Source organism: Homo sapiens, chromosome 22, assembly GCF_000001405.40.
Source record: "Homo sapiens chromosome 22, GRCh38.p14 Primary Assembly".
NCBI classification, from domain to species: domain Eukaryota; kingdom Metazoa; phylum Chordata; class Mammalia; order Primates; family Hominidae; genus Homo; species Homo sapiens.
The window spans coordinates 32,310,716-32,329,723 of NC_000022.11; the positions used below are offsets into that span (position 1 = coordinate 32,310,716).

General features: G+C 49.1%; 1 protein-coding gene and 1 long non-coding RNA gene across 6 annotated transcripts in view; both read right to left on the reverse strand.

Annotated features, from left to right (window-relative positions):
- SLC5A4 (solute carrier family 5 member 4) overlaps window positions 1-19,008 on the reverse strand; it is a 136,600-nt gene that overhangs the window by 92,252 nt on the left and 25,340 nt on the right. The gene's annotated exons all lie outside the window — the stretch shown is intronic.
- The window catches only part of LOC107985561 (uncharacterized), a 29,247-nt gene continuing 16,660 nt past the window's right edge, over window positions 6,422-19,008 (reverse strand). For both annotated transcript variants that reach the window (XR_001755500.2, XR_001755499.2), the window contains exon 2: window positions 6,422-16,722. This is a non-coding gene — a long non-coding RNA (uncharacterized LOC107985561). The remainder of the gene's footprint in view (window positions 16,723-19,008) is intronic.

Genomic DNA, 19,008 nt, shown 5'->3' on the forward strand with positions numbered 1-19,008 from the left:
CAAGCCACTTGACCCGGCTGAGTCTGTCTTCTCATCCATAAAATGGGGAGAGCCCCTTCTTCATGGGGCTGTTGAGAGGATGAAGAGCCAGGGAGAATGGAGGATGCTTTATGCCCTAGCAAGTTTGTTCTGCTTTTCCAAACGCAGGGCATTGTTTGCACAGTGTGACTCACAGTGGAGCCCAGGGCTGGGCACTCTTGCCCTCATCTCCTGCCTTCCCTCTGGGTCCCAGCCACCTGGCTTTCTTATGCTTCCTTGAAACCACCAAGCCTGTGCCTGCCACAGGGCCTTTGCACTAGCTGTTCCTTCTGCCTGGAATGCTCTTTTCCTATCTTTAACGCCCATTACTCGGTCCTGTGTGTCATTCAAATCTGGCCTTCAATCATCTGCTCAATAAGGCCTTCCCAGACCACCCCAGGTCCACGAGGGTCTCACTCACTTGTCCCTCGAACTGAGTTCCCGGCAGAACACTCGCCGCCCTTGCCACCTTCACTGTATTCCCGCCCCAGCTAGAAAGCCAGCACAGTGAGCAGGGACCTGCCTTGCTCACTGTTGTGTCTGGTGAATGGATGGGCAGTCAGTGTGAGAACACTAGGTCTGATGAAATGAGGAAACTGGGTCAGAGGACACACATGTTTATTAAGCAGGGCCTCCTGAGCTAAGAACTGGGGGAGATTTGGTATCACTAACACCCATGGAATGAGTGTGTCTACACTGGCAGCGTGGCCTTTGGAGATGTTTGTGATCATTTAGGTGATGCCATCCATCTCATAGGTGCCCCGGGGCAGGAGTGGAGGTGATTAGCTCTGTGGGTGGATGTTACGGGCATCTAGGCTTATGTGGAAGTCCCAATTCAAAGCGGGTGGATTTCTAGAACCCTCCTCTCTGGGTTTCCATAGCCTCGTTACCCTGCCCAGCAAAGATCCATGTGTCTGTGTCTCCCACCAGATGGGAGGCTCCCCAGGGGCAGAGATGAGGTCTGACTCATCTTCTGTCCCCATCACTGCCCAGCATGGGGCCTGGCGCACAGCAGGTGCTTAGCCAGAATGTGCTGAGTGGATCAGCGCTCTCGGCGGTGATGGTGGAGAACTCAGGGCGACAGCCTGTGGAGGCATCAAGGAGATGCTCCTGGCATTGTGCAGGGTGTGCCCTGGCTGGGGATCACGTCATGTCCAGGGAGTTGGAGCCTGGACTTTGGGTTCCTGCACCCCTGAGGTCAAACGAGGGGTTGGTCTCCTCCTGGCCATGTGGCGCCTGGGCACCCCCCTTCCCCACTGTGAGCTTTTTCTGCAGCTTTTTCTGCAGGGGGTTAATCATACCTGCCTCCCACGTGGTGAGAGGGAGAGTGCATGAAAACACTTAACTTGGTACCTGCCCTGTGGTCAGCCTGAGATGCGTCCCTGAGTATTTTTGTTACAGGAATGAATTCTGTAAGAACCAACCCTGACTGGCATTTTCAAATCCCCAGTGCTCCCTGAGACACAGAGGGGCTGTACCCTGTGCTTAGCAAGAAGCTTGCAGCCTGAACATTGACACGGATGAGAACCCCCAGCCAGAAGGTAACCCGCGCCCATCAGAGAACTTGAGGGGGGAAGCCCCAATAAAAACCAACCAACCAAACAAGAACACCCCAAATCACACGCGCGCGCGCACACACACACACACACACACGCACATTCAATATTCTGACACAAATAGCCCCAAGGGGCCGCTATTGGAGGGAGCAGGGGCAAGGGAAGCTTCGGTTTTCAACCACAGGTATAACTCACAGGCCTCAATCCTCCTGGCTGGAATCAGCCAGAGTTGCTTTGTCTTGGTCATCCTGAGGCCACAATGAGTCACCTCTCAGAAGCCACCAGCCCAAAACAGGACTATCGCTTGTGGACAGGTGGCTCAGAATCCCCTCCCCTGCACCCCCAGCCCCTACCCCTGAGTTTGCTCGTAATCTTAGAAGTCCGCAGAAGGGGGCTTTGGGCACAGGCAGCATTCCCTTCTCTACCACCTCGGCTGTCCCTGGCATCTCTGTAGAAGTTGTCCTTCTCGGAGGCTGCACTGGGTATTTCAGATCTCATCTCCCCCATCCTGAGGCACAGCAAAAGGGTTTTCTGGAGGAAATACAAGGAAAAAAAATATCACATGGTGTCTCCTCAATGGGGACTCACTGGGGACATTTCTCTCTGGCCTCAGTGCCAGAAGAATCCAGGTTTCCTCTGAACACATGGGTTTTGTCTTCTGAACGTTGTGAACCATGTGACTTTAAGACTGGAAGCGAGACAAAAATGTCGCTATCATTATAGCTCCATATAGTACTAGAGCTCTGGCTCATGCAATAAGGCAAGAAAAAAAAGCATAGACTAGGACTGGAATAGAAGAACCAAAATTACAGTTAATTGTGGATAACTTACATAGAAAATTTAATAGAATCAACAGGTTAATTAGTAGAATGGAGAGTGCATACATAGAGGTATAATAGTCAACCTGTAAGACATCAGATCAATTTATAAAATGCAACAGTGTGCATTGACCTCAGCAGTTACTAGGGTAATTATATGTCATGGCTTGGGACAGTCTCAGTTGACACTTGTTGTTCTGACATAATTTTTAATGTTGTTCCCCTTTTACCCTCAAAAGTATTCTGATTTGGATGATAAATTATACTGTCACCCTTGCTATAACAAACTAAATATTAAACACAGATACAGATACCATTCATACTGACAAAAACGATCCTGTATTTTGGAATGACACTAAGATATGACCATGACCATGTCATACAAAGCTATAGAGAAGATACCAAGATGCTCCTGGAATAGGGAAGAGCCAGGAGAGCAGTGGAACAAGATCTACAGTGTGGAAACAGGTCTGCTGGGCACTTATAGCTTTGAATGGCAGAGTCAAGTTGCAAACAAGACAATGAGGAAAAGAAATACAAACTCCATCTGTGGCAGGCAGCATGAACCCCACTGCCCTGTGTCTATTACAAGAGCAATTGCCCAGCCACAACTACTTACCTTCCCAGACTCCCTTGCAAGCAGGGGTGGTCACATGACCCAGTCTGGCCAATGTCATGTAAGTGGGAGTCTATTGGGAAGGGGACATAAATCCAGGGGAAGATGAACTATCTTGCATGCATGAGAATGAAGGATGCTCACTAACACAGGTGGAGTAGAAGGCAGGGAGAAACTGGGTTCTGGTGGCAGCCCTGGACTGCCCCCTCCACACCACTGCAGTCAAATTTCCTTTACTTGCATAAATTGCAACTGGTGACAGTTCTTAACTGATAAACCATCTTCAACCAAACTACATGTTTTTTGGGCAAATGGAGAAGTCAAGGGAGTGGCTCCGACAAAGCCAGCAAAGCCCACCTCCCCAGAGTGAGAGATACGCCAAGAAGGAGAACCTACTCTCCACTCTTTGCATCAGTGGGAATGTGTACAGGGGCTAAGGGTGAGAGATTCCGTGGGGCCATCTCCTCAGCTTCACAGAACAAAGCCAGGTACTCTCCATCACCGACTTTTTTTTCTCCATAGCACACACCTCTATCCAGCATACCACCTATTGTACTTACTTGAATAATTTATTGTTTGTCTTCCCCACATAGAAAGTTAGCTACAAGAGGGTTAAGGTGATTGTGTGTTTTACACATTGCTGCATTGCCAGGGCCTAGGACAGTAACTGGCATACTGTAGGGGCTTAATAATGTTTATCAAATAAATGAATGAACCAAGAATTTAAAGCCCAATGAACCATCTTTCAAATATAAAGTCAACAGAAAAACATGTTGAACATATTTTTGAATTATAGTTCCCATGACCCCTTCTTAAAAAAATTAAGGACACCCTTAGGCAAATCAAGAATGATTCAGAAAAGTTTAATGTAAAAGGATGGGCAGATGATTTTTTTAAAAGTTCTGTGGATAGATGGCAGTGATGGCTGCTGTATTAATCCATTTTCATGCTGCTGATAAAGACATACCCAAGCAATTTACAAAAGAAAGAGGCTTAACTGGACTTACAGTTCCACATGGCTGGGGAGGCCTCACAATCATGGTGAAAGGCAAGGAGGAGCAAGTCACGTCTTATGTGGATGGTGGCAGGCAAAGGGACAGAGAGAGTGAGCGAGCTTGTGCAGGAAAATTCCCATCAGACCTCATGAAATTTATTCACTATCATGAAAACAGCATGGGAAAGACTTGCCCCCATGATTCAATTACCTCCCACTGGGTTCCTCCCATGACACATGGGAATTGTGGGAGTTACAATTCAAGATGAGCTTTGGGTACAGCCACAGCCAAACCATATCAGTTGCCCTACAGTGAGAAGGTACTTAATGCCCCTGAACTGTATACTTAAAAATGGTTAAAATGGTTATATGTTATGTGCATTCTACCACAATTCATAAAAAGGATGAGCAGAAGCATAACAAATGCAAATGAAGAGAAATCAGGGGTCAAGTTGTAAATGGAGCACTGCCAAGAGTGCCAGCAATGAGCACAGAATTTGTGTAACTGCAGGACTATTAAAGCCAATCTAAAGATTATGACCATCACAGAGAAGAATGAAACAAAACAGAACTGGCATAAATAATAAAAAGTAGGAGGGGTGGAGGTGAGAAGGAGAGAGGTAATACAAGTAAACTATGTCATATTCATATATAGTTGGAGGTCTAAATTATTGCTTAGAAGTCTAAGTAAAATTAGAGGCATCAAGGTAAACAAAAAATAATCAACTAAAATAACTTGATGGAAGGGAGACAAGAAGAGGGAAAGTAGAAATATTCTAATTTTGATATTGTTCACAGTAGGGAGAAAATAAGCGCTGTCTAGAGAAATAAAAGGATTAAAGATATCATGTCATATTATAATTATGAAGATAACCATGGGATCAAAAACGCAGCTTTCCAAATTATCAGAAGACATACACACAGAAAATAAAACAAAGACAACAGAGACCGTATGGTGAAAACTGACAACCCCCACAAAACTATAAAAGCAGAAAGCCTATCAAACAATGATGACAGAACTAAGACCAAATGCATCTGCCATATCTGTAAATGTTAGTGAGCCATACACACTTGCTTAAAAAAAAAAAAAAAAAAAAAGAGACTGGATCACAAACAAGGGCACTGAAGGTAGAATGATTCAGCAAGGTTTCATAGAAAAGGATGGGCAGGGCCGGGCATGGTGGCTCACACCTGTAATCTCAGCACTTTGGGAGGCCAAGGCAGGTAGATCACGAGGTCAGGAGTTCAAGACCAGCCTGGCCAACATGATGAAACCCCGTCTCTACTAAAAATACAAATAAATTAGCCAGGCATGGTGGTGGGTGCATGCAGTCCCAGCTACTCGGGAGGCTGAAGCAGGAGAATCGCTTGAACCCAGGAGACTCTGTCTGAAAAAAAAAAAAAAAAAGGGCAGATGATTTTTATAAAGTTCTGCAGGTGGATGATGGTGATGGTTGCACTACAGTGAGAAGTACTTAATACCCCTGAACTGTATACTTTAAAAATAGTTAAAATGGTAAATGTTATGTGCATTTTACCATAATTTTAAAAAAAGGATGAGCAGAAGCATAACAAACAAATGCAAATGAAGCTAAATCAGGGGTCATAATCTTAATATCAGACAAAGCTGAAGTCAGGGCAAAACATATTGAATGAGAAAAAAGAAGGGCACTGTGTGAGGGTGAAGGATGAGAGTCACCATGAAGATCTAACAGTAATGAATGTTCATGTACCAAATAGCATAGCCTCAATATTCATAGAGCAAGACTGGAAATTTAGGGAGAAAAAGCAGAGTATGCTAGCATTAGTGCTTTTTTTTTACTTTTTTTAAAGACAGAGTCTCACTCTGTTGCCCAGGCTGGAGTGCAATGGTATGATCTCAGCTCACTATAACCTCTGCCTCTTGGGTTCAAGCCATTCTCCTGCCTCAGCCTCCTGAGTAGCTGGGATAACAGGTGCTCGCCACCATGCTCGGCTAATTTTTTTTTTTTTGACTTTTTAGTAGAAATGAGATTTCACCATGTTGGCCAGTCTGGTCTCGAACTCCTGACCACAGGTGATCCGCCCACCTCAGCCTCCCAAAGTGCTGGGATTACAGGCATGAGCCACCACGCCCTGCCTAGTGCATTTTAATTCACCTTTCTCAATCCATTCCATATGCAGTTGGCAAAAACAAAAGTAAGGAGATAGGGAGCCAAATAATCTAATTAACAACTCTGTGTGTGTGTGTGTGTGTGTGTGTGTGTAAAACACAGTCTACCTTCATTCTATTCAAATGCTCTTGAAAGTGCATACACAAAAGTGACTATCAGGCCACAAAGAAAGTAAATTCCAAAAAATAGAAAAAAGACAACATTCTCTGATCACAATATACTAGAATTTGAAAATACTAATAATGAAACCACAGACCAAACCAAACTTTGCCACCAAGAAGTCTATAAACACTTAAATAAACTTGAGTTACAGACAGCAAAAAATAAAAACTGCAGAATATCTAGACTATAACAAAATATATATTTAAGGACCTGTGGGATGCAGACGAGCCAATGCTAAGAGGAACATATATAGCCTTAAAACACTGATCTTATTAATAAATTAGAAAGCATGAATTGCCCAACTCAAAAAGAAAAGAAAGACAAACCTAAGAAAGACATACAATAGCAATAAATAGATGAAAACAGAAATGGAGTTAACAGCAGAAGAAAGGAACTCATAAATAACTCCATGTTCTTTTTTTAATTTTTAAATTATTTTATTTTTTTAGAGACAGGCTCTTGCTCTGTCACCCTAGCTGGAGTGCAATGGTGCAATCATAGTTCCCTGCAACCTCAAACTCCTGGGCTCAAGTGATTCCCCTGCCCCTGCCTCCTGTGTAGCTAAGACTACAGGTGTGCACCACTACACCCAGCTAATTAAATAAAAATTCTTTGTAGGGATGGGGTCTTGCTGTTTTGCCCAGGCTGATCTTGATCTCCTGGCCTCAAGCAATCCCCCTGCCTTGGCCTCCCAAAATGCTGGAATTACAGGCAAGAGCCACCATCCCTGGCCCCAACTACTCGTTCTTTGAAAAATAGTGAGACATGTTCCTGCTGGGGAATCTAATGAAGCAGGAGATATAATACATAGAAGGTGGAGGTGACTGCTTGGAAGGATTCTCTGCACTTTTGCTCTCCAGTTTCACTTCTCACCATCCCTTAGCCCCTCCCAACAGGCTTTTCTTCCAACTTCTCTGCAGAATTTGCCCTTGTCAAGGTCACCAAAGACCTCCATGTTAATAAACCCAGTAGTCAATTCTCAGTCCCCCTTTCACTCATCCTCACAGCAGCATTGACTCAAGTGATCACTCCACCTGCTTCCAGGACACTGCACTCCCCTCTCCTGGTCCTCCTCCTCCTCCCACTGCTCCTGCTCCAGCCCCTTGTTGGTCCGTCCACATCTTCCTGACCTCCTCTTCACTCTTTCTACTCACTCATGGACCTCATCTCTTCCCAAGGATTTAAACAGCATATGTTGATTTTTTTTTTTTTGAGATGGAGCTGGAATTTCACTCTGTCACCCAGGCTGGAGATACGCTGATGACTTTTGAGCCTCAAACTCTCATCTAAACTCCATTCTGATGGCCAACGTGTCTACTCGATGTCACCAAATTGATATTTAATAGACACCTCAAACTTAATATATCCCAAACGAAAATCCCAACCTTCCTCCCCCATCTAGCTTTTCCCACAATTTTTCTGACCTCAGGAAATACAACTCCATCCTGTCAGTTGCTCTCCTCAGAGGCCTGGAGTCATCTTTGACCCCTCTTTTCCTCTCACACTCCACATCCAACCCAGGAGCAAATCCCATTGGCCCTTCCTTTGGAATCTCAACAAGCCTTACACTTCCTGCTGCCTCCACCACTCCTACTGTGGTCCACACTAGCAGGATTCTTGCAGTGGGTGTCTGTGCTGGTCAGCCCCTTCCATCTGCTCTCAACACAGCAGCCAGAGAAGCCCTGTGAAAACCTAAGTCCAATTATGCCACCCCTTTCCTCAAAACCCTCAGTGGCTCCCAGATTCACTAAGAGTAGAAGCTAAAGCCCTTCCCACCCCATCACCTCCCTGTCCTATTCCTCACTCTTTTCCTTTTCATTCTCTCCACTCCAACGGTAATGGTTTGTTTAGTGTCAATTTGACTGGGCCACAGGGTGCCCTGATATTTGGTGGGATATTTTTCTGGGTGTGTTGTGAAGGTGTTTCATGATGAGAGGAACATGTGACCTGGCAGATGGAGGAAAACAGTGTCCTCCCCTGTGCAGGTGGCCTCATCCAACCTGCTGGAGACCTAAACAGAACCAACAAGTAAGGGGGAATTCACACTCTCTGCCTGCCTTTAAGTGGGGACATCGTTCTTCTCCTCCCTTTAGACTCAGGGTGGGACTGAAATTCACACCATTGGCTCTCCTGGCTCTCAGGCCCTTGACTCATAGTGGAACTCATGCCATCAGCTCTCCTGGGTCTCAGGTCCTCGACTCACACTGGAACTCACACCATGGGTTCTCCTGGGACTCAGGCCCTCGACCACACTGGAACTCACACCATCAGCTCTCTTGGGTCTCAGGCCATCGACTCACACTGGAACTCACACCATCAGCTCTTCTGGGTCTCAGACCCTCAAATCAAACAGGAACTCACACCATCAGCTCTCCTGGGTCTCAGACCTTCAAATCAAACTGGAACTCTCACCATTGGCTCTCCTGGGTCTCAGGCCCTCGACTGACACTGGAACTCACATCATCGGCTCTTTTGGGTCCCCAGCTTGCTAACTGCAGACCTTTGGATTCCTCAACCTGCATAGCTGCAGGAGCCAATTACCTACAGTGTGTGTCTTCATATGTGTCTATATGCGATTGGTTCTGTTCCTCTGGAGCACACTGACTAATACACCATCTGTACCAGCATGCTCCTGTCTCTTCTCCCAGATAAACCCAAGGCTGAATCCCTGATCTCCTTTAAGTCACCTTTTTAGTGAGCCCTTGGCCACATGTTTAAAATTATCCTTTACCTCAAATGCATTATCGCTGTCTAAAAGTCCATATATTTCACATAAACATTTTAAAAACTGTCTGCAGTCTCCATAAAAGCAGGCTTTTTGCTGCTTTTGGCCCATGACTATATCCCCAGGGCCAATAACGATGCCCAGCACAGGGTCAGCACTCAATTAAGATGAACTGAACAAACAGAAGAACAAAAGCGACTGCCTGCTCAACTCTACAGAAACCAGGAAGCCTCCAAGAAATGGATCAATTTCCAAGAAAAGAGAAATTACCCAAAGGATCCGGGAAGGGAGAATCTAAACAGACCAGTTGCCAAGAAGAAAGAGAGAAACTGTCAAACAGCAAATCCAAACTCTAAAATAAGAGAAATGCAAATTAAAGCCATAATGAGAGAGGATTTCAGAGCGCAGACAAAAGGGAGCATCCGCATTCCTTCACTTGCCACCCTGACACTGATCAAAAGGGCTGAGCACCCAATGCATTTGCTGGTTTGGGTTTCTGCTTCACTGCTGGTGGGGGGGATGCTGGGGTCATTTCTTTGGAAGGCAATTTGACACATGCCTACGGTACAGATGCCCACATCCTCTGACCCAGCAGTCTCACGTAACGATTATCCTACAGACATGCTCACAAGGGCAACATAGGTACAAGCACATTCATCACACAAAGGTGGGTCACAGCAGAAGATTAGGATCAGTGAAGTCTCCATCAGCAGGATGCCAGGTCAAAAACAACAGCTCCTGCACAATGGAGAGCCATGCAGAGACCAGGCAGGCTTGGGCAGCTGTCCTCAGCCACCTCCCATGCTCTGCTTTCCTTTCCTGGGTGTTAGTCATTGAGATTCATGATTTGTGGCATTAATGCCACTTACACGCTGAGCCCTCTGCCCTGAACCTTAGTCTTGAATTCCCACCCTTCCTCCCCTGGGCAATTTCTGTACTTTCCGCTCAATTTTTCTGTAAACCTAAAACTGCTTTAAAAAAAATCTATTCATTACCTAGATAACAAAATTCGTAAGACAGTGAGATGTCACTTTAAATCCATCAAATCGGCCAAACTTAGGAGATCAGATGATTTGAAAGGTAAGTGAACACCCGCGAAGGGGACTCACCACCATGCTCTGTGGACGATCCGGCAACCTCTCTCTGTGTACTTCCCAAAGAAGCCCGGGAGCTGGTCTTCAGGGGCAACCCGTCACCTTCCTAGGGAACTGCATTAGCATGAGCTGCTTCTTTTTAAGAAACGTTTAAGGCCGGGCACGGTGGCTCACGCCTATAATCCCAGCATTTTGGGAGGCCGAGGCAGGCGGATCACCAGGTCAGGAGTTCAAAACCAGCCTGACCAACATGTTGAAACCCCATCTCTACTAAAAACACAAAAATAAGCTGGGCATGGTGGCGTGCACCTGTAATCCCAGCTACTCAGGAGGCTGAGGCAGAAGAACTGCTTGAACCCAGGAGGCGGAGGTTGCGGTGAGCTGAGATCGTGCCATTGCACTCCAGCCTGGGCAATAAGAATGAAACTCCGTCTCTAAATAAATACAAAACTTAGCCAGGCATGGTGATAGGCACCTGTAGTCCCAGCTACTTGGGAGGCTGAGGCAGGAAAATCACTCGAATCCAGGGGGTGGAGGTTGCAGTGAGCTGAGATCGCGCCACTGCACTCCAGCCTGGATGGCAGAGCGAGACTCTGTCTCAAAAACGAACACAAATCTTTTAAGTTCAGGGGTACACGTGCAGGACGTGCAGGTTTGTGACACAGCTAAATGTGTGTCATGGGGGTTTGTTGTACAGATTATTTCATCACCCAGACATGAAACCTAGTACCCATTAGTTATTTTTTCCTGGTCCTCCCCCTCCTCCCACCTTCCGCCCTTCAGTGGGCCCCAGTGTGTGTCCTTCCCCTCTATGTATCCATGTGTTCTCATCATTTAGCTCCCGCTTATAAGTGAGAGCATGTGGTATTGGGTTTTCTGTTCCTGTGTTAGTTTGCTAAGAATAATGGCTTCCAGCTCCATGCATGTCCCTGCAAAGGACATGATCTTGTTCTTTTTTATGGCTGCATAGTATTCCATGGTGCCTATACAGTCTTCCATACAGTTCTCAGAAGTGAGGGTGCAAGAGCGCCTATGGCAGAATGCATAGGTCTTGCACATAAAACGTTGGGTCAAAGGTGAGAAATACTATACATGACAAGTGAAAACACTTCCATGTTCCCAGCATTGTGCATAATTTGGGCATCACACTCAATTAAGATGAAAGAGTGGGGTGGACGGAGTAGGCTTGGAGGGTGGGAGAATGGGCAGGTACAGTAAGGGACCCATCACAGCCACTGATGTTGGAGCTAGGGACCAGGAGGTGTGACCAGCTCAACATTCTAGACCTAAGGGTTGGAAACCAGAATGAAGCCTGGCTGACTCGACCATGAGGCTGAAAAGCTGAGAACATCACACAAGGCAAGTGAAAAAGGGAAGCGCGTCCTCACCTGCCCTCCTATGTTCTTAGGTGGAAACTTACAACAGGGTGGCCACATGGTAGAAATGGCCAGAAGCAGGCCAGGGGCAGTGGCTCACGCCTGTAATCCCAGCACTTTGGGAGGCTGAGGTGGGTGGATCACGAGGTCAGGAGTTCGAGACCAGCTCAAACATGGTGAAACCCCATCTCTACTAAAAATACAAAAATTAGCCAGAGGCAATGGTGCACACCTGTAATCCCAGCTACTCAGGAGGCTGAGGCAGGAAAATCACTTGAACCCGGGAGGTGAAGGTTGCAGTTGAGCCAATATTGCGCCACTGCACTCCAGCCTGGGCAACAGAGCAAGACTCTGTCTCAAAAAAAAAAAAATTATTGGAAAAAAAAAAAGAAACAGCCAGAGGCCCAAGGGAGCTGGGAAAGAGCAGGATGGGGGCTGCTTCCTGGGTGGAGCCCTCGGTTGCACAAATGGGTTCTGAGAAGTGCTTCCTGCCCCTGGGCTTGTGCATGGCATGGCTGTGTGTGGGGACAGGCAGATATTCTCACATGCCAAGGGAAGCTGAGAAGGAAGAGGACTTTGGGTTGCATTAATAGAAATATATGTACCAAAATAGAGCAGATGACCCAAGGTTCTTCTGATCTTTGTGGTGGCTGGACCACAATGTCAGAATTTCAGCTTAGGAGGGCTTGCAACCAAGTGTCCAATTTTCCTAGAACTTATCTTTACCTTTTTTCTTTTTCCCTGTGTGTTCACCTCTTAGCTCTTCAGGAATGCAATTGTAACATTTACCTCCTCTCCACCAGGCACTCCCTGCACTGCAAGCGTATCTAACTATAGTTCGATTTGCTTAGAAATTCTCAGGACAAAATGTTGAACCAAACCAGGCACCCTCCGGGATTCTCCCCCACCAGGAGATTGGCTCGAGACAACAGCTTACAGCTTAGCTCTGTCCACCATGGCGCCCTCCAGACTACCCAATTGAGAAGACACAGAAGCAAGTCAGGTGGACCCCGCACCTCCTCACCCCCTCCCCTGCATGCTTTTCACACCAAGTTCCCTTTTAAAGACTCCACTTTCCTCCCCAAAAGCTGAAGCAATTCCCTTAAGTCAGGAGCCTGTATGTTCCCCCTTAACCAAGCTCTGGGATAAAGTCCCTTTCTTTCTACCAGACCTCTCTCTGTTCATTGGATTCTGCAAGAGGCTGGACATGGGTTCAGTTACGGCCTGACCCAAGAGCCCATCTCCAACCTCCATGCTGCACAGGAAGGGAAGAATGTGACATGGACTCATTCTCAGCCCAGGACCTGGTGACTATTCAGTCTCTGGCCTTGGAGACCCTGTCTGCAGGCACGGACGGTGCCATTAGGCTGGAAAAGGTTGGAACAGAGGGAGCCCAGGGGCTGAGGGAAGAGGGACAAAGTCAGAGGAGGCTTGGAGAGGAGGTCCAGGTGATGGTCGAGGCCTCTGCTTGGTTTCCCCCAGGAATGGTAAGCTCACTCCTTTACAGGCCATTCCCTTTTAAGCTGCTCAGTTCCCTGGAAAACTTTTACAACGCAGAGCCAAACCCTTGCCTGTGGGCCACAGTCTGGACTTCCTGGCCCATGGTGGCCCTTCTGGGATAAGGGTGGCAGCAGCCATGCCCCTCCTCACTCCTTTTTGCTGCTGCAGGCTGATATGTTAAAGAGGTTGTCCATTCTGGGGTGGGGGCAGCCTCACCCGACTTTGGCAGAGGCCTCCCGATGGCTGCCCCTGTGTGGCAGTCTTTGCATTCCCCAGAGCGGTGTCCCTGGAGGGCAAAGCAGCTTTGGTCACTCCCTGGGGATACACCTCCGTTTGGGAATGACAAGCACCAAATTCAGGCTGGTGGACCCAGGAGGGGAGGTGTGCCACTGGGGCATGCTGAGGGTCGCTATGGCATTGACGCGGCTCTATTTCTCATGCCAGTGGTGAAAATGTGGTGTTTGCTTCATTACTTTTTATACCTCATATATATACATATATGTGTATACATATGTATGTGTATATATACACACATATATGTATATATATATACACACATATATACGTATATATACTAGATTCTCTTGCAGAAAATGAAATATTTCAAAATCAATGACTTTTTAAAAAAAACATTCTACTTACAGTTTCTTAGAGGGTAAAATTTTGATGTCTTAGCTGGGCCTCAGGGCCTCTTACCAACAGGACTCTTACCGCTTTCAGTTTTATGGTCTCCACTCCAAAGGAGTCTTTCCAGAAAGCCCCAGTGTGTTCTTCACATTACTGGGAACACCCTCCCCTATCTCCACCTAGAAAACTCCTACACATCCTTCAAGACCTCACTCACTGGGCGCCCCTTCAGCGCAGCTTGTCTGACTCCCACAGGCCTTTGTAACACCCTGTACCACACAGCACCGTAGAGTCCCATGGCAGAGATGTCCACGGCCTCAGTGTCAGACAAGCCCGGGTTCAGGTCCCAGCTCTGCCCCTCACAAGCTGTGTGACCCTGGGCAAGTCATTAACCTCTCTGGGCCTTAGGCACCCACCTAATACCACTGTAGGCCATCCTCACCGCTGCCCAGCAGGGCTATCACTCCTGTGGACACAGCCCAGCCCATCAGCCCACAGTAGCCCCGGGAACGCTTCCACATTGCACAGCCTTCTGGAAGGAATCTTTGGCAAATGTCAACTCTTGTTCTGCTTTCATGGCAAGCACGCCTTGGTCACATGCGGGGCTGTAGCCTGTGAGTGCAGGAAGCTGTTCCTGTGTGGCCATCGACTCCTGCCACGGAGAGCACTCGCCTGCCCTGATGCGGGAGTCACGTGTCCTCCTAGGCACTCTGCAGGTCGCCTTGCCCCTCATTGCCAGTCCCGTAGACCCCGAGGCCCAGGCCCACCAGTGCTCCCCTCACTCAGTGTCAACTCTTGGCCCCTCGCACTAGGCCTTCCAATAAGCCAAAACTGTGGCGCCTTCGCCAGGCCTGGGCTGGGTGCTGGGGGCTCAGAACTGAGTCAGGTGCGGGCCCTGCCCTCGAGGGCTCCAAGCTGGTGGGGGAGCCACACCAGGACCCCAAAACAAGAGCAGCAGACCCACGCTGTGTCAGTGGTGAGTGTCTAGCAGTCTTGGGGCCCTGGCCGGGGTGGAGATTGGGGAAAAAGTGATCGGGAGCAGCCACAGAGCTGGGCCCTGGACAAGGTTTGTTGGGACGACAGGTCACTCTGGGCAGATGGAACAGCCTCAGCCAAGGCCATTCAGAGGATCACAAGGAGCATGGCTGTCGCGGCACAAGATGCTCCCGGCAGGGGTGAGTATGGAGAGGCAGCAGCCACAAGGCCTTCATCTGCCAGAAGGTGTCTGGACCTGATCCCGAGGCTGTGGGGAGTTGACATAGAAGATCATTCCTAATTCTCAAACCGGCAAGATTAGAGCTGCAGGGTCCTGATTATCTCCTCTGCGCCGGGCACTGTGCCAAGCACTTCCCATGCGTGTGTAGCCTCAGTTCTCTCAGCAGCCTCAGGGGTGGGGACCACTAGTCCCTGCAACTTGCTGATGAGGCAACTGAAGCTCAGAGAGACAATGTCACTAGCCCAAAACTGCCTATCTAGCTAGCAGTGGAGCTTGGCCTGTGCTGCTGACCACAGGGCCACACAGCCAGCCCCTCTCGTCCAGGGCAGTGGCCTGGGCAGGCTGGGGAGCAGCAGGCTGCCCTGCTGGCCCTAGTGAGAGAGGAGCTGAGCCTGGAATCGGAAGCAGGGCCCACGGGGTGAGGAGGGTCTGCAGCTGGCAGGCCTGGTGGGCTGGTACCTGCAACCTAAGTGGGAAGGTAACAGAGCACCTGGCAATTTGAATAACAATGAAAGCTTCCAGAATGCAGACCCTCTGTGACAATAACCCTTCCTGCAGACAAAAGCAGAGGAGTCATGAGGCACAACACGCCTCATTCCAGGTGAACTGGAGACAATGTGTTCCCCAGCAGCGGCAGCGGCTTCTGATAGTTGGCGCTGACTGTATGCACGTGGGGTATGGGGCTGGGAGCCTTCACGTATTTTTTTTTTTTTTTTGAGATGGAGTCTCTGTCGCCCAGGCAATGGCACGATCTTGGCTCACTGCAATCTCTGCCACCCGAGTTCAAGCGATTCTCCTGCCTCAGCCTCCCAAGTAGTAGGGATTACAGGCACCCAACACCATGCCCAGCTAGTTTTTTTATTTTTAGTAGAGACAGTTTCACCCTGTTGGTCAGGCTGGTCTCAAACTCCTGACCTCAGGTGATCCACCCGCCTCGGCCTCTCAAAGTGCTGGGATTACAGACATGAGCCACTGTGCCCGGCCACCTTCATAAATTTTTCTAAGGGATTCTCACAGGGACCTGAAAGGAGGAGATGCTATTAATCCTACTTGTAAATGTGTCCCTGCAAACAGTACAGGGACATCAAGGAACCTATTCGGGGCAAGATGGCCATCCCAAGGAACGCTACCTCAATACGGAGAAAGAGACTCTGCTGACACGATAGAGTTGAGGGTTTTGGGAGAGGGAGATGAGGCTGGATTAACTGGCTAGGCCTGCTGCCATCACAGGGTCCTAAGTGAGAAAGGCAGGAGGCTCAGAGTCAGCGGAGGGGATGTGGCCACGGGAGCAGAGGTCGGAGAGATGTCCTTGCATCTGGAAGGGGCCAAAAGCCAAGGAATGTGGGTGCCTCTGGGAACTGGAGCAGGCAAGGAAATGGACTCACCCCCGCAGCCTCCAGCAGGGCCCCGTGCTGCTGATAACTTGACATGAGGTGTTCATGAGTCTCCTTTCCAACTGCTGTCCTCCGGATCTGTACAAGACTAAATCTATGTTGTTTTAAGCTACTGCATTTGTGATAGTTTATTACAGCAGCTACGGGACACTCACATAATACCCAAGAGAGATGTGTGCATTCATTTCACCAGGAGACCTGGATGCGAAGGTTCACAGCAGCTTTACTGATGACGGTTAGAAGGTGGAAACAACAGAAGTTTCCTCAAAAGGTGATGGAGAAACATGGCGTGGTATGTCCACACAATGCAATGGGCACAGATCCAGGCTGATGACTATCACTGGGCACAGATCCAGGCTGGGGCCAAGATGGGAACCTTCATCTTTTGCTTCCTGGCCAGAGTGCTCTGCCCCAGCACCTGCCTTGTCAAAGCCCTGGTGGACCCATGGGATGGCCCAGTTCTTGCACCTTCACTGGGAGGAAAGCAGAGACAATGACTCCATTTTACAGTTGGGTAAAGAGAGGCTCAGGGCCATGCTGCCCAGGGAGGAGCTGAAGAGAGACCCGAGGCCTGCTGGGGACCAGATCTTCTCAATGGTGGTTCCTTTTGGCATCCTCTCTCCAAGCCCAGTGCAGAGCCTGGCACGTGGGAGAGCTTTATGGGAGTTTGCTGAATAAATGACAGAGAGCAGGTGTGGTGTGAGCTCTGGTGGCTGGACTCACCTTCCCATCCCCTGCAGACCTGTCCTCCTGACAGGGTCCAATGTGCACGGGTTTGGGACACAGTTGGGAGTGTCCTGACGGATGTAGTCACTCTCAGGGGATGTCAGTCCACGGACACAGATGCAGCAAGGTCCCTGGAGCCCTGCCGGCCTCCCTGCACACCCTCTGCACTCTGAGGAATGCTCTCTGCCGGGATGGGGCACCTCGGGCATGGCATGGGAGGCCTCTAATGTGGCCCAAGATGTTTAACCAGAGTCCTACAGGCCCCAGCCTGAATTGGGCCCAGCAATTCACAAGCTGTGTGACCTTGGACCAGGTCCCCAACACATACACCAGAGCCCCAGCAATTCACAAGCCGTGTGACCTTGGACGACGTCCCCAACACACACACCAGAGCCCCCAACACACAAACACACACACACCAGAGCCCCCAAAACACACACACCAGACCCCAGCACACACACACCAACTGTTGACTTTTCCCTTCTGCCCTCAGTTCCCCCATCTGTAAAATGTGGCTGCTCACAGCCCCCTACTCTGATTCTACATTGAGGCCTGTGGTATGCAGCCCTAAGACAGCCTCCAAAGAATCCACCTGCAGCTACTCACACCCTCCTTTGGTACCCAAAGGAGAACAAAGGATGGGGACAGAGCCAAGTGGCTCGCTTGTAACAAATGGATAGAATAGAAGTGACAGGCATGGGATGTCCCTTCCAAGGTTAGGCTCCAAAAAAGTGGGTTCCACTGGGCTTTGCACCTTGAACTCTCTCTCCCAGAGCCCTCTTTTTGGGTGGTCAGCTGTCATGCCATGAGCTACCCTGCGGAGAGGCCCACCCAGTGAGCAACTGACAACGCCAACCAACACGTGAACCTACTACCAGCCACCTGAGTGAGCTGGGAAGTGTATCCTCCCCAGCAGTGCCTTGAGAATGACCATAGTCTCAGCCAATGCTTTGACTGCAGCCTCCTGAGAGACCCCAAGCCAGGAGACCCAGCAAAGCCACACCCTGACTTACACCTTTCTGACTCACAGAAAGAGTTAAACGCTTGTTTTAAGCTGCTGACTTGTGGGGTACCTTGTTACACAGCACCAGCTAGCTAATACAAGGCCTCAGGGCAGTGCTAGAGATTCTGGGAGAGGGAGGATCTTGGAGATTGTGCATCTGGACATCCCTCTACTCTACCCTCAGGGAACGAGCCTCTGACCTTGGCCTGCACACCCCAGTGATGGGGAGCTCCCTGCTTACTGAGGCCAGCAAATCTGCTGTGGAGCCAGGCTGCCTGGGAAGGTCTTCCCTCTGCCTCCTGCTTCCTCTTCCTACTGGTGCCAGCATGGCTCTGGGGGTTCCCTAGCACCAGCCCCATCCTTCAGGGATGTGTGGGTTCCGCCAGAGTGAGCTGGCGTCTGGATCAGGCTTCTCTGCATCACACTTTCATCCCCTTTTCTGCTTTTTTCTGCTTCAGGGGAGAGTTGTTGGGAGGCAACTGAGGGCTCTGGCCCAGCCTTGCCATTCAGTGTGCACCTGGCAGAGAGGACCCCAGGATGCACCAATCTTCACTCAGCCTTAGCTCGAAGTCACCATCTCCACCCGCCTCAGTTTACTCATCTGCTACATGGAGATTTCTGTGAGGACATGAGACACTGCATGTAACAACACTTGGCACACAGAAAACACTCAAGAAATGTATGTCTATTGAGTCGGGAGAAAACATTCACAGCGGGGCCGCGGACATGCTTGAGGGAATTTTTACTTTGTCTTTAGCAAAATATCTTGCTGGGCCATCTAGATGGATGCAGATGGGGAGGGGACGAGGCAGTGGGGGTGTGTGTGTGTTTCTTGGGGGGGCTCTGTGTCTGTTGAGGGGCTCTGGTGTGTGTGTTGCGGGCTCTGGTGTGTGTCTTGGGGGCTCTGGTGTGTGTGTTGGCTCTGGTGTGTGTGTTGGAGGGCTCTGGGGTGTGTGTTGGGGGCTCTGGTGTGTGTGTGTTGGGGGCTCTGGTGTGTGTGTGTTGGGGGCTCTGGTGTGTGTTGGGGACT